Here is a 22,513-nt window from a genome sequence, read left to right as displayed (position 1 = left end):
CATTTATTAGTTCCCCAAATTAATACTTTTCTAATTTCTTATGCCTGTCTTTACTGCAACCTCTAAACATAAATTGTAAAGACTTCATGGACACTTATCACTTCCCCAATCAATATCCTTGTGATTTCCTATGCCTGTCTTTGCTTTAATCTCTTAATCCTGTCAGCCGAGAAGGATGTATATCATCTCAGGACCCTGTAATAATTGTGTTAACTACACAAATTGTACAGCATGTGTGTTTGGGCAATATGAAATGCGGGCACCCTGAAAAAAGAACAGGATAACAGCAATTGTTCAGGGAATAAGAGAGATAACCTTAAACTCTGACCGCCAGTGAGCCGGGCAGAACAGAGCCACATTTCTCTTCTTTCAAAAGCAAATGGGAGAAATATCGCTGAATTCTTTTTCTCAGCATGGAATGTCCCTGAGAAAGAGAATGCGCACCTAGGGGTAGGTCTCTGAACTGGCCCCCACAAGGCGTACCTGTCTCTTATGGTCGAGATTGCAGAGGTGAAATAAACTCCAGTCTCCCATAGCGCTCCCAGGCTTATTAGGAAGAGGAAATTCCCACCTAATAAACTTTGGTCAGACCGGTTGATCTCAAAACCCTGTCTCCTGATAAGATGTTATCAATGACAATGGTGCCCGAAACTTCATTAGCAATTTTAATTTCGCCTCCATCCTGTGGTCCTGTGATCTCGCCCTGCCTCCACTTGCCTTGTGATATTCTATTACCTTGTTAAGTACTTGATGTCTGTCACCCACACCTATTCGTATACCCCCTCCCCTTTTGAAACTCCCTAATAAAAACTTGCTGGTTTTTGTGGCTTGTGGGGCATCACGGATCCTACCAATGTGTGATGTCTCCCCCGGACGCCCAGCTTTAAAATTTCTTTTGTACTCTGTCCTTTTATTTCTAAAGCCAGTCGACGCTTAGGAAAATAGAAAAGAACCTACATGATTATCGGGGCAGGTCCCCTGATACAGTCAGCTTCTCTTCCACTGGCCTGTCACCTCCTTGCAACATCTTTTCCTTCTTTCTCTAATAAATCTGCCTTTCTGTACTCAACAACTGTCTTGGTAAATTCTTGCACCCCCACACCACCAGCCCAGAAAGTCGCCACTCACCCACGACAGTTTTCATCAGGTATCACCTCTGTTACTTTTTTTTTCAGACGGGGTTTCACTCCTGTCACCCAGGCTGGAGTGCAATGGCATGATCTTGGCTCACTGCAACGTCTGCCTCACAGAGTCAAGCGATTCTCCTGCCTTAGCGTCCCAAGTAACTGGGACTACAGGTGTGCACCACCACAACTGGCTAATTTTTGTATTTTGTGTAGAGACAGGGTTTTGCTATGTTGCCCAGGCTGGTCTCAAACTCCTGGGCTCAAGCAATCCTCCCACCTCTGCCCCACAAAGTGCTGGGATTACAAGCATGAGCCATCATGCCCAGTCTGCTGTAACAAATTATTTTACATGGTGGTGGTGATGATGGTAGTGTTTTAATCTTAAAATGTCTTTATTTGCCTTCATTCTTGAAGGATATTTTCACTGAAAAAAGAATTCTGGATACTAGTTTCTTTCAGGACTTACATGTTATTTCATTCTCCTCTGTCTCCATGATTTCTAACGAAAAATCAGCCGTCAGTAAAATTCCCTATATATAATGTGTTGTTTTCCTCTGCTCCTACCAAGATGTGCTCTTTACCTTTGTCTTGATTTGGGCTTCTTTGTGTTTATTCCTCTTGGTGTTTTGAGGGGCATTCTGCATCTATAAATTTCTTTTTTTTTAATTAATTATTTTTTTAGAGACAGAGTCTTGCTCTGTCGTCCAGGCTGGAGTGCAGTGGCGTGATCTTGACTCACTGCAAGCTCCGCCTCCCAGGTTCACGCCATTCTCCTGCCTCAGCCCCCCAAGTAGCTGGGACTACAGGTGCCCGCCACCACACCCGGCTAATTTTTGTATGTTTAGTAGAGACGGGGTTTCACCGTGTTAGCCAGGATGATCTCGATCTCCTGACCTCGTGATCCACCCGCCTCGGCCTCCCAAAGTGCTGGGATTACAGGCGTGAGCCACTGCACCCGGCCCTGCATCTATAAATTTCTATCTTTCATTCAATGTGCAAAATTCTCAACTATTATTTGTTCAAATACTTTTTCTGTCCCACTCTTCCTCTGCTTCCCTTCTATGATTCCAATTACCAACAGCTGGATGGTTTGATGTAATTTAACAGGTCCCTAAATCCCTGCCTTTCTTTTTCCCTTCATTTTTTTTTTCTGTTTTGCACACTGGATAATTTCTATTGATCTATTTTCAAGTTCACTAATTACTAATTCTCTTCCCTCTGTCTTGAAACCACTCCTGCAAAAATTATAACAGTGAAAAAATCATGACAGTGAAAGAGATCTGACCTAAGGGACTCTATCTTGCTTCTAACCTCCAAGCTGTCCTTGTTTATTCCTGGGTGTTGGCTGAATTAACTTTGAGAGGAATTTATTTTATTACACATATATATATAGAGAGAGACGAAGTCTCACTCTCTTGCCCAGTATGGAGTGCAGTGGCATTATCTGGGCTTACTGCACACTCTGCCTCCCAGGTTCAAGCGATTCTCCTGCCTCAGCTTCCCCAGTAGCTGGGATTACAGGTGCATGCCCCTATTATAGGAGTTATTCAGAAATTATTTTAGGCGATAGGATAAGGGGTCTTTGGCAAGCTGTTTTTTTCTTGTAATAAAAGCAGCTCCAGAAATGTTTATTTTCTAGCAGAAAAACGGCTTGAAGGGCTAGGCTAGCAAGTACTGATATGCTAATGTGGATTAAAAACTAGATCTGCCCAACATGGCCACCCCCAGATATCTCCACCTGTGCAGGACATCATAGTGGCCCACATTTGCATATTAAAAGGCTAGGGTGGGAGGGCCAATTACTTTGAGGGCTATGTGAATGACATACATGGTCAAACCAATCCCCTGGGCCCTATGTAAATCAGATACTGCCTCCTCCAGCCTCCCAATATAACTGACCATTCCTCCTCATCCACCACACATGGGGTTTTCTCTCTCTGCTTGGAGCCTCCCTCCCTCTGCCTCTGTAAGGAGGAGCTTCTTCCTTCCTTCTTGCCTATTAAACTCTCTGCTCCTTAAAACCACTCCACATATGTCTGTGTCATGTTATCTATATCAGCGTGAGACAAAGGACCCTGGTGTTCCTCCAGTCATCAGAGCTGTATCACCACCACGTCCCACTAATTTTTTGTATTTTTAGTAGAGACGGGGTTTTGCCATGTTGGCCAGGCTGGTCTGGAACTCCTGACCTCAAGTGATCCACCCACCTTGGCCTCCCAAAGTGCTGGGATTACAGGCGTGAGCCACCATGCTGGCCAAGAGGAATTTAATTTACGGTTTAACTTTGAAACAAAGATAACAGCCCTTTCCCAAAACAAACTCCCTTCTTGCCTGGGGACCAGAATGCCTTTTAAGACTAACAAATTAGCCACAAGATTAGAAATTATGGTGTAGGAGTCATGCAACCACAGGCCACAAGATTCCAAACCTCCCCAATTGCTCTTCAGGATAACATCACTACTGTAAAACCTAAGAATGGTGCTTGAGATATATTTTCAGACCCTGCCTTCTGATGCACCAGCTGGTGCCATCCAGCCTGGTAACAGGGCTCAACCAGTTCTGTGATCCCACCCAGGAACAGAAGACAGCAAGAAGAACCCACTGTGACCCCTAAGATTTCATCTAGGATCCGACCAATCAGCACTCCCACTCCCTTGTCCCCTCCCACCAAATTATCCTTTAAAAACCTCATTCCAAGTTTTCAGAGACACTGATTTGAGTAAAAAAACTCCGGTCTCCAGTTCAGCTGGCTTTGTGTGAATACAAATTGTGATTCCCGTCTTGATAAGGCAGCTCTGTGTGGGCAGCGGGCAAGCAGAACTCACAGGACACTGACAGTCTTCTCCACTCCCCTGCTAAGGCCATGCAGTAACTTTTAAATGCCATATATTGTATTTATCAGTTCTAAAATATCCATGAGACTCTTTTTTTAATGGTTTTTACTTCCCTACTGAGATTTCCTCATTTTTCATGAATTGAAAGCATATTTTGTTTTATTTCATGGAGGAGGGTTATAGCAGTCAGTTTAAAATCCTTGCATACTAGTTTCACTATCTGGTTCTTTTCAGGATTGGACCCAGTTAATGTTCTTTTCTTTTGAAAATGTGTCTTTTATGTAGAAAAGCAGAATATGCCTCCTCAAAATCATTCATTTTGACATAAGGATGAATTTGAACTGAGAAGTAGATGCCAGAATAGCTCTCTCCCCTCCCGCACCTACCTAAAAGCAGGACTTAAAAACGGTGTCCCTCCTTCCCTCCCAACCAGCGAAGAAATCTCTGGAAGGCATCAGCCTGGAGAAGGCACCAGAGAAATCTACATCACAAACCTCATTTGTTTGCCATTCTATGATTTGCATCCCAGACACTCAAAGTCCCTGTCCTTTGTCTTGTCACTGCTCTAAAAACGCATTGCTCTTTGCTGAAGATGAGATATAAGCTGGGTTTGTTAAGCCATCTGTGTGAGATACACTCATTCCCTGGGTACGTCCCATGTATATATGAAATACACACATTAAAACACTTATTTGTTTTTCTCTTGTTAATTTGTCTTTTGTTACAGGGGTCTGTCCCAGCTAAAAACTCCGAGGGGTAAGAGGAAAACCTATTTTTCTCTCTCACACTATGTTCCTGGTTCTACAGATAGCAGGTAACTTTGCCCTGCATCTGGAATGTTAATTTGTACACTGTTTTCTTGCTTGTATTGAATTGCAAATTCTGTTTCTGGGGCAGCAGCTCTCCTCTCAATTTCTATCTTTCGTCTTTAGCTAAGCTTCTTTGGGTCTGTTCCAGACACGCATTGTTCAGAATTTGATTGGATACGTACACAGACAAGATTTTTGGATCCCTCCTCTGGCTCATCCCTTTTCCTCATTATCTCATCAGCCTGTTATCCCATCTTAGATTTCTGGTTCCCGGAAAATGTGATTTTGCCATAGGCAACCCCTGCCGCCACTGAGTGCACCATGTAAATGAAACTTAGCTCCAGGATAAAAGACGTGGACACAGAAACTTCCTTCACAGGGAATGCACTATAACATACCCTACAGAAATTCACTCCTCCGCCCAGATATGGTGGCTCATGCCTGTAATCCCAGCACTTTGGGAAACCAGGGTGGGTAGAACACCTGAGGTCAGGAGTTCAGGACCAGCCTGGCCAACATGGTGAAACCCCATCTCCACTAAAAACACAAAATTAGCCAGGCGTGGTGGCACACGCGTGTAATCCCAGCCACTGGGGAGGCTGAGGCAGGAGAATCGCTTGAACCCAGGAGGCAGAGCTTGCAGTGAGCTGAGATGGCACCACTGCAATCCAGCCTGGGCGAAAAAGAGCAAAACACCATCTCAAAAAAAAAAAAAAAAAAGAAATTCACTCCTCCTCTGATCATGCACTGTAACATACTCTATAGAACCTCCCTCCTCCTCCAATCATACACTGTAACACGCTCTACAGAACCTCCCTCCTTCTCCAATCACGCACTGTAACACGCTCTACAGAACCTCCCTCTTCCTCCAATCACACACTGTAATGCACTCTACAGAACCTCCCTCCTCCTCCAATTACTCACTGTAACGCACTCTATAGAACCTCCCTCCTCCTCCAATCACGCACTGTAACATATTCGATAGAATCTGGACATAATACAAAAAACCAATTACACTGCAGTCTGCTTAGTCTCCAGTGCCTTTGAGTAGTTGCTTTTTATATTATATACAAGTTTTATAGTTGTTTTATACAGGGAGTCCTCCACCAGGGTCTTAGCCCATCATTAAAGTATAAATCCCCTAAAACACCTTTTAAGTTAAAAAAAAAAAAAACAATGCAGTATATGTACCTTCTTTTGTTGCACTCCAGCTGCATATTATATACCATAAAACCTCCATCCTTGTCTACATTTTTAAGTCATTGAAAGTAATAGCTAAGCATTCAGAGATGGGCAAATCTATTTTGAGACCAACCAATTGTGCCAAAGAGGATTTCAACGTGCATATTTACAGGCATATATTTTTGCTAAAAGTACTGAATACGACTTTCCCCTTTGACATTATATTTATTAGTTGCCCAAGACTAAAATAGGTAGGCAAGACAATGAATTCTATTAAGTGACTAAAACATACCATTAGCTTTCAAAATTGTATCTTTTCATTAAATGTTATTCAAGGTAATAAGTAAATTACGATAATTCCTACTCAACCATGGTGGTAAAATACCTTCCCTTATAGCGAAAGCTGAGTTAGAAATCTAAGGCCAAGGAGAGCTTCATGAAAATCTTCATAATTATGCTCACTTAAATGATAAAGATGGCACACCAAAAAACACAGTATCAATATTTCACCCACCTTAAAGGTGATATTATGAGTTAACTGGACAAACACATTCACTTAACAATCTTTACTTACTAGCAATGCTTTCTGGATTTGCCATTCCCTATTGTTTTGGTGATGTGCTTGTAAATGTATTTAACTTTGCTTCTGTTACTGAATGCACCAAAAAGAGTAACTGTCTGGTTCTCCATCCAACTTCTTAAAAACTTTTTGACTCCATGTTAGTAACTTAGGCCTCCTGTGTCTTGACCTTTGGTTTCTACTGTAATCAAAGAGATGCAGAATCATTTGCATGAGAAGGAATAAATAGGGGATACCTCTTTAATACCTGCAGTGGCAGAACCCATAAGGTAGTTCCTAGCCCGTATCTAGTCCCCACACCCTTCCTGCTTGTTAACAGAAATCTGATTATATCCAGAATAGTAGGGCATCCAGCCCCAGAAGAGACACTTGATTTTCCAGGCCCCGTTATGCACAAGGGTGGCCACATGACACAGTTCTGACCCATGAGACCTAAATGAAAGTCTTCTAGGAGGTTCTGGGAGGTTCTTATTTTTCATGATAAAAAAGACAGAACTTCCCTAATTTTTCTCCCCTTCTGCCTGCTGATTAAAGTACGTTTAAGTTGAGTTTTCCAGGCCTAATGCACACTCACATGCCGTCTTAGCTCTATCATGGTAACCTAATTCCAAAGCATATGCTACTAACCCTTCATTCCTCATAAATGATACTGGAGTTTTGTTTTGTTTTGTGTTTTTTGAGACGTAGTCTCGCTCTGTCACCCAGGCTGGAGTGCAGTGGCGTGATCTTGGTTCACTGCAAGCTCCACCTCCTGGCTTCACACCATTCTCCTGCCTTCACACCATTCTCCTGCCTCAGCTTCCCGAGTAGCTGGGACTACAGGCGCCTGCAACCAGGCTGGCTAATTTTTTGTATTTTTAGTAGAGACAGGGTTTCACCGTGTTAGCCAGGATGGTCTCGATCTCCTGACCTCGTGATCCGCCTGCCTCGGCCTCCCAAAGTCCTGGGATTACAGGCGTGAGCCACCGCGCCCAGCCTACTGGAGTATATTTTTAAGACTTGTGATTGCTTCCTCCAGTTCCCTTTAATATTTGCCAGAATTTAATTGCAAAAACCTTTCATTTCTCTGCCCTTTGCCATAAGGTACTTTTTATGGTTCCCCTTTTCCTATTTCTCATAAAAGAGGATTCTAATTTGTTTATACTGGAACCAAATTCTCATGTACAAAGAAAATTTATTATGCTGTAATTCTATTTACATTTGATGGAGATTACTGTACCAGGAGAAATTTTAACTGGTTTGTCTCACTAAATAATGGTATTTTATTTACATACACACACACACACACACACACGTATACATATATATACACATATACATATATACATGTACATATATATACGCACACACACTTTTTCCTTTTTTTTGAGACTGAGTCTCACTCTGTCGCCCAGACTAGAGTGCAGTGGTGTGATCTCAGCTCACTGCAACCTCCTACCTCCTGGGTTCAAGTGATTCTTATGCCTCAGCCTCCCGGGTAGCTAGGATTATAGGCATGCGCCACCATGTCCGGCTAATTTTTGTATTTTTAGTAGAGACAGGGTTTCCCCATGTTGGCCAGAATGGTCTTGAACTCCTGGCCTCAAGTGATCCACCCACCTCAGCCTCCTAAAGTGCTAGGATTATAGGCATGAGCCACTGCACCTGGCAATAATGGTATTATAAAGATAACTAACAATTACTGAGCACTTACTATGTACCTGGCACTAAGTGCTTTACGTATTTCAATTAATCGTCACATCATTCAGTTTTTTAGGTAAGAAAACCAAGGCTTACTTGAGGTCTTATGACAATTGAGAGATAAAGCTCTTGAAACTCTGACTAGACTGTCTACTTCTAAAGTTCCTGGGCTGTGCATTCTCTGCTTACTGCAAAATTTTTTGCTTGATTCTATATTTACATTTTACCTTTGGATGTTCAGGACTTACAGCCTTCACTCAGTCATACCATATGAATAGAAATATGTACCTGCCACATAGCCCAGAAACAGCAGGAGCAGTTAAAGAATTTTGGAGGTTTTATCTCTTGATTCTGAGATTGATTTTTAGCAATTACATTGCAATCGGGAAGAAAATGTTCTTTTCCTACATGGTGAGTAGGCAATTTTCCCAAACAAGAATGCCCAAGTGTATTATAAAGCAGAAATATATTGGAGTAGATATTAATCACTGGTTGTAAAACCCCTTGTGAGGTGTCACTGCATCTATTATTCCAAATGATACACAAGGCACATTTATGGCAAGATTTATTTCTCTTCCTCACAATGTTTTCATGGTAATAAATCTTAGAATCAAATAAAAAAGCTTTTTTCCTGGGGACGGGAGGTTGGGAAGACGAGACAGAAGAGGAGGGGGAAGGGGGAATAGGGGAAGGAGACAGAAAGAAGAAGAAAAAGATAAACAGATGGCAGACAGACACTGGGTGATACTGAAGCATACAAATTACACCAGTTATATTCTTGAAAAACGTTTCAAGAAATTAAATTCCTTTTTATTCATGATATTTTTTCCATGTACATCACAGGAATAATTGAGGGGTATAATTTATTTCCTAATTTGTCATTTGCTAGAACATATACACATATTCTGTACCTCTCTGCCTCAACTCTAGATTTTAGAGAAGGTATGGGTTCAGTATGTTCATAAGCTACATTTCATATTGCATATGGAAAAAATAAAGGGTAGATTTTATAAATTTTTACAATTTTACAAATATTTTAGATGATATAATCAACACTCTAACAACTGTTACTGAAGATAAAGGATGAAATTTCTTTATCTTGGCATGAAGCGTAGCAAACATAATATAATTGGCATATTAACAACTTCATATATGATAAAATACCCAGCACTATATATATTTTTCTAACTTTCAGATACCTTTGAAATAGGTGAGGAAGAAAGAAATAAAATGTAGATGATTAGCAAATTTTGAGTATAATATTAGTTATTCTTTTGAAAAACAAATAATGCTTTCCATGTGCCAGGCACTGTTATTGGGACACAAAGCTGAATAAGACTGGGTACTCCCCAAAATGTTCCTGGTCTAATGAGACAAACGTAAAAATAATTATGATTGCATATAATAAATGCCTGACTAGCAATATCAAATATGGTATACTCAAGAAAATATATAAATGTATGTAGACTGATATCCGAAGACAATCTTACTTCACCCTTGTGGAAGGCATTCAGGAGTTTACTGGGATTGTTATCAGATGCCCACTCACAGAGGCAGGCAAGTGTGTAGCTGGGGAATTCAGAAGGGTGGAGAGGGGATGGAAAGGCATCGATGACCACTGTGAGCCCGTCAGGGGGCTTCCTGGTGGACCTAGGAGACCCTTTCTTTGATGAGGGAGTACCGTCAGTGGGGCAATGTGTGGACTAGAAGGCCCTGAAAGCTTGCTCCTCAATGGGCTAAAAGCTGAGGAGCTTGCTTTGCAGGGCTGTCCATGCGGAGTCTGGTGGATCCTGAGCCCCATGAAAGGAATGCACTGACTCTGTCTAAGACTGTTGCTGCCCTTCACTACTATCATAAAAACTCTACAGTAAAGCTACAACTATTACCCCCATTTTACAAATGAGAACTATGAAGCACAGGAGAGAGGTAAAGTAACTTACCAAAAGTGATATCAACAGTAAGGGGCAGACTGGAGTTTAAACCCAGGCAGCCACTCCAGACTACAAGCACTAGAAACCTTTATGGTAGGCAGAATGGCCCCCAAAGATGTCCTGGAACCTGAAACAGGTCACAGACCACAAAATAGGGAGAGGATGCTGGATTATCCAAGCGGGGCCCATCTAATCCCATGAGCCCATAAAAGGAGAGAAACTTCTCCTATTTAAGTCAGAAATATAGGGCAGAAGGTGAAATCAGAGAGATGTGAAGTGTGAGAGTGACTTGATCTGCGGCTGCTGTAAGGACCATGTGGAAAGCATGGGCAGGGCTCAGGTGGCATTGAGGAGCTAAGGCCAGCCAGCAGGGAAGTGGGGAACACTCCAGCAGCCACAGTGAACTGGATTTGGCCAACAGCTTCAATGAGCTGGGAAACAGATTCACCCTCAGGGCCTCCAGGAGAGAAGGCAGCCTTGAAGATGCTTTGACTTTGGCCTTATGAAATTCTAAGCAGAGGAGCCAGCAGAGCCAGACTGTACCTGGACTTCTGACTTCATTTTAAAGATGATAAATAAATAGGTGCTGCTTTAAACTGCAAAATTGGTGGTATTTATGGCAACAACGGAAAAATACAACTTTCTTAGCTAATCCTTCAAGTGGCTTTGGAATGGCCAAGCAACAGAGTCTGCCTGGGCAACTCTGAGGAAGACCCTGGAGGAAGAAGCCTCTCACAGGCGTCTCAGAGAAAGACAGGAGCTCGCTGTGTGAAAAGCAGGGGGGCATTCTGTGCTGAAGGACAGAGATGGTATTTAAAATGCATTTAGGAGAATGCCATGGGCATTCCTGAGGAAACAAGTCATTCCATCTGAAAACTACGGAATATGCAATCATTCTCTTTCTAAAATACTTGTGTTCTTCTGTATTTTTTATGATAAATTTAGTGCTAGTTTGAGGAAATACAACTGCTATACATAAAAATACAGAAAACTTTAAAGATTTGACAATTAACTTGTAAAAAATTATGATGATCTTAACTACAAATAGAGGAGAGTGAAAAGTCTAAAAACAAGTGTTCAACATGCACATAATAAATAGCTCCTAAGAAGAAAAAGGTACGTTTTGAATAGTTATGCATAAATTGAACATTTAGGTATGAATAATACTTGAAATGCATCAGGAGAGCTTAATAAAATCATCTACTACACTCCTAATAAATGGGGTATTTGAGACACTTAATCTAACTTAATCCTCTTGATAATCCTAAAGCAGCATTATCATCATGGTACACATGCAGAAACTGAAGCTAAGAGAAAATAACTTGCCTACATTTTAAAGATGATAAAAATAGCTTTTTGACTCACATTTTACATATGTGATGATGTGCAAACTTTGCAAACTGTATACCATAAAGTAATTCTTTTCTTAGGAAAGATTTTAACAAACCCTTCTGCTGAGGGGTATGGGTTGGGGAAGTGCATTTCCTAATTCAGCTCTCCTAGGCTAATTCACTTGTAATGTTAGACACATGAAGATGTGATGTGATGTTACATACCTAGCAAGAGTGTGGGCTTGCTTTGTTCCATTTTGCAAACAAAATGAATAAAACAAAAGTCCCCCAATCCTTACCTCAAAGCTAATTACTACATGGGAAAAGCAGGCAGGGGTGGGGAAGCTATATCTTCTGACAGTAAAGAATTAGATGGTAGTGAAAACATCTACCTTCACTAGTGGTATTTTCAATAAACAGGTCCTTACCTAAACTGACTCTATCAAGATAACGCTATTTTGCAGAGGTGTTTGAAAATAGTTCATTCTGCTAAAAATAGTCATAGATTTACATAATCTGGTCTGCTTCTGTTTTCTTATTTCAAACTCAGTAATATAACAGAAAATATTCTAGATTACATATCCTAAGCACACACACCTCAATCCAATTTTGATGTGTATCATAAAAATTCATCTGCTATGTATGCTTCGTAGGGGATATATGGCATAACCACAAGGAAGTTTACAATTGCAATAAAGAACCAAGGACAAACTGTTAAGTGACAATGTATTAATAAACTGCAAACAAGGGCTCAAAACATATGTAATTACAGTTCAAGAGACAAGGAACCCATGGAGATAGCAGGATTTTGTGGTCAAATTATCTTTAATTATGGAAAGCTCTCAGTGAAAAGTTAGGTTTCATTTTGATTAAACAATTGCTGCATGGTACTAACTAAAATCTATAAAAGACAGGAACATTTTCTGAAAAAGAAACTCGGTTTGTTATATGCAATTCTATTCAAGCAAAATTTGCTCAAAACCTAGTCTGGCCCTAGCCAACTGCTAGTTGTCCTTACAAAGCACACTCCTCACCCAGAACTCCCAAAGCATATTACATAGTTCTTGACTTACAGTAGCCTGGAATGTCATCTAAGAGTCCAAGATGTAACATTCTAGATACAGAATAGCTTTTAAAATACAAAATTGTATCATTAAATAAAATGCAAAAAATGCCTCTCATAAAAAAATTTTTTTAATTTCCATAGATTTATTCAGTCAACAAACATTTACTACCTACTGCGTTCTTATTTCAGTATCAAGCAGTGAGGATGTTTAAAAATAACTCCCTGGGTGCAATGGCTTGCACCTGTAATCCCAACACTTTGGGAAGCTGAGGCAGGACAGGAGAATTGCTTGGGCCCAGGAATTCAGGACTAGCCTGGGCAACATGGCAGGACCCCATCTCCACACACAAAAAATTTAAAAATTAGCTGGGTGTGGTGGAGTACACCTGCAGTCCCAGCTACTTGGGAGGCTGAGGTGGGAGGATCTCTTGAGCCTGGGAGGTCAAGGCTGCAGTGAGCTATGATTGTGCCAGTGTGGTCCAGTCTGGGAAACAGAATGAGACCCTGTCTCAAATAAATAAATAAATAAATAAATAAATAAATATTTAAAAAATTAAAAAATAATAACTCAAGTATGTTCAAGAAAAAATTCCTGTTCTCAGAAAGCAGTAAAGTTAAGTGGGAAAAAGAAATAGAAATGAATTATAGTAAGCCCTTGGTAATCATGAATTAAGTGTTCAGAGCTCCTGTTTGAAGTTTCAAGCATAAACTTACGAATCTGGAGACCCAGGCTATGATAGATGACAATTTTCAATCTTGCTGAGGCCCAAAGGTGCACAGCATGAGCTGGTAGGTTCTACTGTGGGTAGAATTCCCAACCTCCATATTTCCAAGTGGTTTGGTTATTCCTTATCATCTCACCACCATCAACAGGAGTTCCATGCCCTTTCAGAGATGATGAGAGGAAGAATGTATGTGTATGGAATTCAGAAATCTGGAAACTATTGGCAATCTGAGGATATAGCCATATAAATATTGTACATCTAACCATATTTTCCTTAGGAAAAAAAGGAGACAATAAGCATTTCTTTAAAGAGCAAAAAAAGTAGGTTTTTTTTCTGTATTCCACTGAAAATATAAAATGTAAACAAATTTTTCATTATCACATTTTATACTCTAATACAAATAAGCTATGTCTATAATAATGCTAATAGCTATCATTAACTCAACTCTTACTATTCACCTATGTATCAGTAACTATGTGTACCTAGGTACTAACTGTACTCAGCACCGTTCTGAATGTTTTAAATGTATTAACCTAATTAGCCATTATAACAATCCAGTGAGGAGGGGGTGGTTATATTACATCTACATTATTAAAAGCTTTAGCAAATACGTTATATTACAACTATGTTATATTAAGAACCTCAGTTAGCCTTTCAATTTAACCATTTACATCAAGTTGATGAGGTAAGAAAACCAAGGTTCAGTGTGTGGTTAAATAACTTGCTCAAAGTCTACAAGTCATAAATGGCAGAAAAGTAGGAGTCAAACACAAGACTATTAAAACTGTTACCTGCTCTATGCTACAATTTATTTCCAAAAGATGGAAAATGCTCATGTATAATATCTTCTTAGTTCCCTCTCCATAATCTTACCATTACCCTTCCACGTCAATATCTTTCCACATCAGGAACTGAAAACTGGCTGGAGGTTAATTAAGTTCATATTAAAAGAAAATTTAATAAAGCTACATGTAGAACAGTTTTCCTCAATGCTTCTCAAATTTATGAGTACTCTGGCATGAGGATCTTGTTAAAATGCAGACTGTGGTTCCTTGGGTTTGGAGTGGGATCTGCATTTCTAACAATCTTTGAGGAACTGCTTATGATTTAGGTCCACAAACCTCACTCTGAGAAGTTGTAGAGTATATTACCCCACCTTCCACCTGACACACACACACACACACAATTTAGTTCATTTTGAATAAAGAGAAAAAAATTACATTTCTCTGGGTATTAGGGTAGTACTGATTTCCTTATGCTTCCATGATATATTATGAGGTTAAACAAATTTTAAAGCTTCAAAACAAAAATATGGAAAATTAAATAATTATAAACTGAAGCATTTCCAATAGCTTAAGATTGTATCAAATTACAGACAAGTTTTCCTGATTTTTTTCTGTGGAAAAAGTTGTAAAGTCCTTTGGATTGACCAGAAACTATAAAACTCCTACAAGAGAACATGGGGAAAAGCTCCTGGACACCGGCCATAGCAATAATTTTTTGGTATGACACCAAAAGCTCATGGCACAAAAGCAGAAATAAACAAATATTACTATATCAAATTAAAAAGCTTCTGCACAGCAAAGGAAACAATTCTTAAAATGAAACAGCAGCATATGAGCTGGGAAAAATTCCTTGAGCCCAGAAGTTTGAGACCAGCCTGGGCAACATGGTAAAACCCTGTCTCTACAAAAAATACAAAAACTAGTTGGGCATGGTGGTACCTGTCTGTGGTCCCAGCTACTCAGGCAGCTGTGGTGGGAGGATAATTTGAGCTCGGGAGGGAGCCACAATCATGCCACTGCATTCCAGCCTACAACAGAGTGAGACCCTGTCTCGAAAAAAAACAAAACAAAACCCAAAACTATACAGAGATAGAGAACAAAACAGTTATTACCGGAGGCAGTGGGTTGAAGGAAGGAGAGGAAATGGTCAGAGGATACAAAATGGAAGATATGCAGGACAAACAAGTCTAGAGCTCTAAGGCACAACATGAAAACTACAGGTAATAAAAATGCACTGGATGTGGGATTCACGCTAAGTGAATAGATTTCAGCAGCTCTGGCCACAGAAAAAACAATGGGTAATTATGTGACATTGGGAATATATTAATTTGCCTCTCTATAGAAACCATTTTACTACCTATATGTATCACATAACACCATGTGGTATACCTTAAATATACAATTTTAAATTTCATTTTAAAAGAATCCTTCCAATCCATCAAGTCCTTCAGCATCAACTCCAATCACTGTCTTCGGCCTCAATACTCCCCAGTGCCATTCACGCTCCCTCTTCTCCAGTCATGCCGTACTCCTTGATATTCTCATAATGTGGTATCCCTTAAGTCCTTGCTCATGGAGTTCCCTAACTGAGCCTAGAAAACCCCCACTTAATCTTTCAAGGACCATGAAAGTATCATTTTAGTCTAAAAAGCCTTCCCTGATGCGAATGGGCAGAATTAACACGTCTTCTTTCTTCTCTTGTGCCCCCAAGATATTCTTTACATATTGTCACTTACTGTAATACTCATTGCAGGGTTCTGGAGGCTACACCTAGCAATGGTGCAGTATCACAGCAATTTCTCTCCCAACCAATGAGGTATGGCAATGACCTCTCTGACAAGTTCAAGATTTCAGCCCTGGCTGAGGACTCTACAGTTCATGGTATTTATGCTCCTGTATAACCCCTCCACTTGAGCGTGGGCTGGATTTACTGTCTTGCTTCTAATAGAATACAATATGGCAGGTGTGATGGTATGTCACTTCTGAGATTACATAATAAATACAATGACTGCAGCTTCCATCTTGGGTGCTCTTGCATACTTTTCTCTTTGATCACTCAGTCTCAGGGAAGACAGCCACTATGTCATGAGGCAGCCCTAAGGAGCAGCCCATGTGGTTAGACACTGAAGCCTCCAGAAAACACATAGCAAGGCCGACTAACCACCATGTGAATGAGCCTGGAGCAGATTCTCTCTCCCAGTTAAGCCTCAAAATGACAGAAGCCCTGGTTCAGAGCTTGAGTGCAGCTTCTCCAGAGACCGTGAGCCAGAACCACCCAGCTAACCTGCAGCTGGATTCCTGACTCTCAGACACTGCATGAGATCGTAAGTGTTTATAAAGATGCTAAGTGTTGGGATAATTATTACACAGCAACAGAGCTAATCACAGGGGCCTTTACTCGAGTGCCCTCTCAGCCCTAGGGGTGGGGCTGCTCCTTCTGTCTGCTATTCCTACACTCTTCAGAGTTCTCTTTCCTTCTCATGAGACAATCTCTTGTTACTCCAGTCTCACAGTTCATAACAATTCTTTAAGTTAAACTTTCCCTATTAAACTCTGCATGGTACCCATCTCCTGGTTGGACTTGAACATCAGTTGAAGCTGCTGCTGCTGCTGGTCAAAGACATTAATCATGATTCAGCTCCTAGAGCTGGGCTCAATTCCCCTTAAGTCCACGGCCACAACAAAATCAAGTAAAAAGGAGGAAATGGCTGTTAGATGAGTAACTAAGAGTGTCTGCGTCACAGGCTTTCCATAATTAAAAACAACTGCTACTACACTGGTTCACTGCTTTTCATAATATTGGCCCAATATTGTAAAAAATGTTATAAATACCAATTTATGGAAATATGGCCCAGAGAAGCCGACTTGAGTGGTTTTAGAATCAGAGGATAATTTTATTGACTGATCACACCACATACCTAGGCAGCCAAACTAAAATGAGATAGAGTGAATGACTTAAAGAATACTTAGTAATAAAATGTTATTGTGTTGGTAGATTTTTGTAATCATTACTCGGTAACATCATGGAGAGAAAATTATTCAATGCTTAACTTACAAATTAACAAGTTACCCTAGGGATACCACAAAGTTCAACAAACTGGGTGGCTTAAAACCACATAAATTTATTTTCTCATAGTTCTGGAGCCTACAGCCCCAAAATCAACGTATCAACAGGGCCATGCTCTCTGTCAAACTTACAGAGGAGAATCCTTCCTTGCCTCTCCTAGTTTCTGGTGTTGGCTGGCAATTCCAATCTCTGCCTCCATCATCACATGGCCATCTTCTTTCTCCCTATGTCTCTTTCTTCTCTTTTACAATTCTTTTTAAAAAAGAGACAGGGTCTCACTATGTTGCCCAGGCTAGTCTTGAACTCCTGCCCTCAAGTGATCCTCCTGCCTCAACCTCCCAAAGTGCTGGTATTACAGGCATGAGCCATCATACCTGCTTCTCTTTTCTTCATATAAGAACACCAGTCATATTGGATTAGGGGCCCATCATATTCCAGTATTACATCATCTTAATTACATCTGCCATGACCTTATTTCCAAATGTCACATTCTGAGGTTCCAATGGGTTAGGACTTCAACCTTCAATACCTTTTTTTCTGGTGGGGGACACAATTCAACCCATAACACCCTCATTTTCATGAAATTTCATGTCTATCAAAAACAGTGCATAGTGTGATATCCTCAAATTGCATTCTTAACAGATTTTTAAAACCAAAAATTTAATGTCAATCATAAAAAATATTAATAGGGAAGACAGTGTTCAACTCATATTCATTTTATCTGATGACTTTCCAATAACCAAGAAGCAATCTTTCCACCTTTTAAAATCACTATCCATCTCTCCCTTCAACGTGCTCTCATTTTCATATTCAAGAATAATATGATGTCCATTTCTTTCTTTAGCATATACTCACAACCACTGGCATAGGTCCCCACCCCAACTTACATTTCATTGCAGAGATATCACAAGCCCCATTAGTTACTTGTAGTCTAATTTTCTTTTCAACATAAATCAGGTATATAACTGAGGTCAAAAATCACATTTATCCAGATACAAAGGCTAAAAAGAAAAATACCCAATTTCAAAACTTTGAGTTGAATTAGTGTTTATCTCCTGTGAGGCTGCAAATGAAACTCACCTGCTTCCCATGTCTCTAACATTATTTTTGTTATTCTCATGTCAAGAGTTCATTTCATTCATCTTTCACTAAGCATTGCTGTAACCTACCTACTCCAAGGATAGTACTGAGATGGCCACTGGTAATAAGAATGAATGATGCAGTTTTTTCAATGCTTGCCAGATTTTTATTTTTGTTATTAAAAAATGAAACACTAAGTCACAAATGAAACACATATTTGTATGTAAAAATAGAAGAAATCTAGAGAAAAACCAATATTGAATATGAATCTAAACCGTGTAACTTAAATCATCAAGGGGAAGAGATTAACATTTATTGAGGCCTTTCTTAAGGTACCACATCAGGCAGTTTGCTAGGCAATTTATATGCTTCATCTAATTCAGACACATCCCCATCAGTTAGGACTTGTTCCCACAGGTTTGCTTGCTTTTGGTTTTTGAGACTGCGTCTAGCTCTGTCGCCCAGGCTGGAGTGCAATGGCGCAATCTCCACTCACTGCAACCTCGACCTCCGAGGCTCAAGCGATTCTCATACCTCGGCCTCCTGAGTAGCTGAACAGGCGTCCACCACCACGCTCGGCTAATTTTTGTATTTTTCTTTTGTAGAGACGGTGTTTTGCCATGTTGGCCAGGCTGGTCTCGAACTGCTGGGCTCAAGCAATCAGCCCGCTTCGGCCTCCCAAAGTGCTGGGATTACTGGCGTGAGCCACCGCGCCCGGCCTGTTTCGAGTTTTTAACCACATTCAAGAAGAGAGAGGTTTACAGAAGTCACTTGCCTTAGATTCCATATTCAGACCAATGGCTCTTTCAAAATTACCTTCTTAGTTTTAGCCAAATATGAAATACATGGAGATCCAAGGAGGTGAAGTGGCCATTGGAACACGTACCTCAGTGGAAAAAGAAAACCTGGTAAAGGTACGGTTTTACCAAGCATGAAAACAGTTGTGCTGATATTCAATCTTCTGTTTTATTCCCACTTTTTGCCTCCCACGTTAGATTCTGTTCAGATAGCCCGTGAAGGGTGACAGGGTATGCCATCCCAAAAATATGTCTCTGGCATAAGGATTATTTTAAGCTAAAAGCACTTGAAAAACAGAAGAGTGCTCTAAACTGCCCCCTTTTCTTCATGAAACAAGAGAAAACTCCTGTAAAACATGGCCTCCCTACACCAGGAACAAAGAAACACTCGGCACCAGAGCCGAGCAAGGCGGAGATTTCTACCTAGACGTGGTTCAAGCAGTTCCATCTTCCATTAGCCTCCCCGCACACTTTACTCTCCCACAGCTGCCGCTCTTGGTTCTGCCTAGCACAAAAGTATTTGGGTTTTGCCATTTCTTTGTGTCTTTTTCACGTAAAACATATTCAAGAGATGTATGTTTTTCTGTTGTTAATCTGTTTTATGTCAATGTAACGCTCTGACCCACCTCGCGACACTAAGAAAGTCAAGTTTGGCCTCCCCTTACACCCGCTTCCCATTTCTGGGCACACAGACAGTACGGACAATGCTTCTTTGTCGGCGAGAGCCCAGGGACCAGATATGGCCAAGGAAATCCAGCCTCCAGGCCACTTCTGAGGAGCAGGTAGCCGGCGGAGCGCTCCGCCGCGCAGGGGCGGGAGGTGTCCGCGGGCCTCACGAGTGCACAAGCCCGCATTGCGAAGCGCCGCTCGGGCCAAGAAGGAAAGCGCACTGTCCGCGTATTTCAAAGGCGCGTTGGGGCCAGGAGGGCCGAACTGCTGGAACGTGGTTCATGCAGCTGAAGCCCACGGACCCTAAGCGCGGCTCATCGGGAAGGCCCGGAGACAGGTGCTAGGCGCTATCATCCCGCGCCCTCCCAAGCCCGGCGCGCGCCTGTGACGTCACGCCTGGCGGAAGGTGGACGCTACCACCGCCGCGCTCCCCCTCCGGCGCCTCTGCGGCCAGGCCGCCGACTCACCTTCCCGTCCTGATGAAAAGGGAGGCCGGGCTCATCCGTGGTCGCCGGGGGACGAACACAGCCTGTCTCTTCGGCCGCTCCGGAGGCGAGCAGCGCCCCGGCGGCGGCCTCGTAGTCCGGGAAGGGGTTGACGAACGCCCGTTCCTCCATTTCTGCCTCCCCTCCCAGGTGGAGCTTCAGCCTCTTTGACATGGTCTCGCCCATCTCCGCCGCGGTACGGCGCGCGGGCGGGGACAAACCTCCTGTCCCGGCGCTGCAGCTCGCCCCGCCGCCGCCTCCTCCGAGGGCCCGCGCAGAGAGCGTCCTCTAGGAGGAGCGAGGCCGCGCGCTGGCGGGAGGAGCGGGGCGTCTGAGCGTGCACTGCCTCGTCGCGGGCTGCTCGCACATCAGGCGGCCGCAGAGGCGGTGGGCGCTGTGCCTCTGCCCTGTTCCTGGCGCCTTTGCCCTGCTCCCGACGGAGAGGAGCGGGCTCGCGGGAGCGCCCAGCGGCTCACAGCCTGCTCGCGCCTCCTCGCACCTTCCCCGTGGCCCGCAGAGCCCGTCCGCGGCGACGCGCACGGCCGGGGCTGGAGTCCCGGGGTGGGGATCGCTGCGCCCGGCCAGCCCCCTCCGCGATTTCCAAAGAAAACCGAACGCCCGCTAGGGCCACGCTCCCGCGGGGAAAACCTGTAGAGAAGAGGTCGCTGTCACTCAAGGTGTGTGCGCGTCGCCGACCGGGGCGAGCTCAGCCCCTGGCGCGCCGTCGTCAGCCTGCATTTCACCGGCCCCTGCTGCGCCAGCCCAAAGGAATAGCAGCAGTTCTTTGTTTGATATTAAGAAGAAAAAAAAAATCTCTTCTAAAGAACAGAATTTCAAAACAGTCTAAAACACTGCAAGGCTAGTCTCCGAGGGATGGGGGAGGGAGACAGTCCCTCCTATTCATCACTGTTGGAGGGGGGTGTCTGGGAGGAGGAGCCACAGGCCTTTTTTTTTTTCTTTTTATGTTTTATGTTCACTCCCTTTGTTTTGAATAAATGGACATCTTTGATACCGGGACATAAAATGAAAGCATACTTAATTATCCAAACATTTTATCGACCAGAAAGAGTCCTCCAGTGTTAATTGGCAAAGATCATAGTATGTATTATAAAAAGGACACAAGCAACCAGATCTTTACATTTATGTAATCGTGATGTGGTTTACTTCAGTCTTCATTGGTTCTCTTTATTTTTATTTGTTTGGACCAAATACGTGTAATGATTTCTGCTCCTTGAGGAAAATGTCTTATTTCCGTTTTCTTCCGCTCAGTAAACGTTGATTGAGCACCAAATGGTACTAGGTGATGAAGAAATAAGAGATTAAAAAGATAGTTTTGGCTCTCTGGGGATTCCCAGTTATTGGGTGAGAAAAGCAAGGATTACAGCATAGCTGATGTAGGTGCTTTTCTGGAAGCAAGCAAAAATACACGTTAATGTAAAAAGTGACATGATGAAGAAAAACACAGTGCCGAGCACAGGGAAGGCTCGGTTCCTCCTGCCTCCGTGGCCTCGGTGGAATGATGTGGGAAAGTCTGGCTTCCCACTACCTCTTCTAGTGTCCCCCCAACCCCACAGGGCTGGACATGTGAAACACACCCCACCAAGAACATGACCATGGGAAGGTACAGTGTAGAAGAAAATCATTTTAAAGGGGGTACTCAGCATAACTATCTTCAAAGTTCAGGGAAACAGAACAGATACAACAGGATGAGTGTTATAGCAGCATCCCTTAGCTCCACTTTCCTGCTTTCCCCTTTCCTGGGGTCTTTTCTCCCACCAAATTTTCATACCTAGACGGTGTAGGAAAATCCACTCCAGGAACTACTGATGCCGACATGCTCTAGGAGCCATCCTTATCCCACCACAGGGACTTAACTAGACAAAATAACCCACGGTGATATTCCCCAAAGTCTGGGGAACTATCACGCCTTGGACAGGTACAGCAGAAACGTCCACTGCGGGCTTTGTTAGGCTAAGCCTAGTGAATTCTCAGCTCTCCCTACCCAGGAGGGAGGTGAAGATTGTCTCTTCTTCCTGCAGTCTGCTGGTGGATAACTGGCAACTGTTGGCAAGTACAGAAACCTGTCCTAAAGAAAACCAATATTTTCAAAAGCTGAAAAATCGAAACCCAATTTAAGGAGTCGGCATATTTTCCTAAATGCTCTCTTATCGGCAGATCCCCTGCCCTCCTGGACAGCTCACTGACACTATTTTATGGAGAAGTGGTAGGTTCCCTTTCTTCAGCCTCCTGTCCCCTGGGGGTTTTTTAATGCAGAGCACAGGGGATTCCCTTCTGCGGCCCTTTTACACCCAGGGCTATCTTCCCCCGTGGCCACTCTTGAGCTCTTGAGTAGTACAGAGACCTT

General features: G+C 42.4%; 1 protein-coding gene across 2 annotated transcripts in view, besides 5 other annotated features; it reads right to left on the bottom strand.

Moving 5' to 3' along the window:
- The window catches only part of LANCL2 (LanC like glutathione S-transferase 2), a 68,401-nt gene extending 47,378 nt beyond the window's left edge, over positions 1–21,023 (bottom strand). The window contains exons 1-2 of one of the 2 annotated variants that reach the window (XM_047420614.1): positions 19,621–20,005; positions 6,527–6,713 (exon numbers count right to left, since the gene is read on the bottom strand). Coding sequence is in view for 1 of the 2 variants with exons in the window: in NM_018697.4 (NP_061167.1) it covers positions 20,131–20,334 (204 nt within the window). In the remaining variant the exon portion in view is untranslated. Of the gene's footprint in view, positions 1–6,526; positions 6,714–19,620; positions 20,006–20,130 lie in introns of those variants that run through there. The other variant, NM_018697.4, reaches the window with a different exon arrangement.
- Positions 3,357–3,557: a silencer, noted in NCBI's record as "peak6524 fragment used in MPRA reporter construct". NCBI's record gives its function as "represses an SCP1 promoter by STARR-seq MPRAs in K562 erythroleukemia cells {active_cell/tissue: K562}" and the evidence as "EXISTENCE:reporter gene assay evidence [ECO:0000049][PMID:32103011]".
- Positions 19,559–19,798: an enhancer, noted in NCBI's record as "active region_26014". NCBI's record gives its function as "activates an Ori minimal core promoter by ATAC-STARR-seq in GM12878 lymphoblastoid cells {active_cell/tissue: GM12878}" and the evidence as "EXISTENCE:reporter gene assay evidence [ECO:0000049][PMID:35858748]".
- Positions 19,829–20,288: an enhancer, noted in NCBI's record as "active region_26013". NCBI's record gives its function as "activates an Ori minimal core promoter by ATAC-STARR-seq in GM12878 lymphoblastoid cells {active_cell/tissue: GM12878}" and the evidence as "EXISTENCE:reporter gene assay evidence [ECO:0000049][PMID:35858748]".
- Positions 20,419–20,838: a silencer, noted in NCBI's record as "silent region_18188". NCBI's record gives its function as "represses an Ori minimal core promoter by ATAC-STARR-seq in GM12878 lymphoblastoid cells {active_cell/tissue: GM12878}" and the evidence as "EXISTENCE:reporter gene assay evidence [ECO:0000049][PMID:35858748]".
- Positions 20,909–21,098: an enhancer, noted in NCBI's record as "active region_26012". NCBI's record gives its function as "activates an Ori minimal core promoter by ATAC-STARR-seq in GM12878 lymphoblastoid cells {active_cell/tissue: GM12878}" and the evidence as "EXISTENCE:reporter gene assay evidence [ECO:0000049][PMID:35858748]".

This window comes from Homo sapiens, chromosome 7 (assembly GCF_000001405.40).
Source record: "Homo sapiens chromosome 7, GRCh38.p14 Primary Assembly".
NCBI classification, from domain to species: Eukaryota; Metazoa; Chordata; class Mammalia; order Primates; family Hominidae; genus Homo; species Homo sapiens.
The sequence above is the reverse complement of the archived record's forward strand: the minus strand, read 5'-3'. Positions and strand labels throughout refer to the sequence as shown.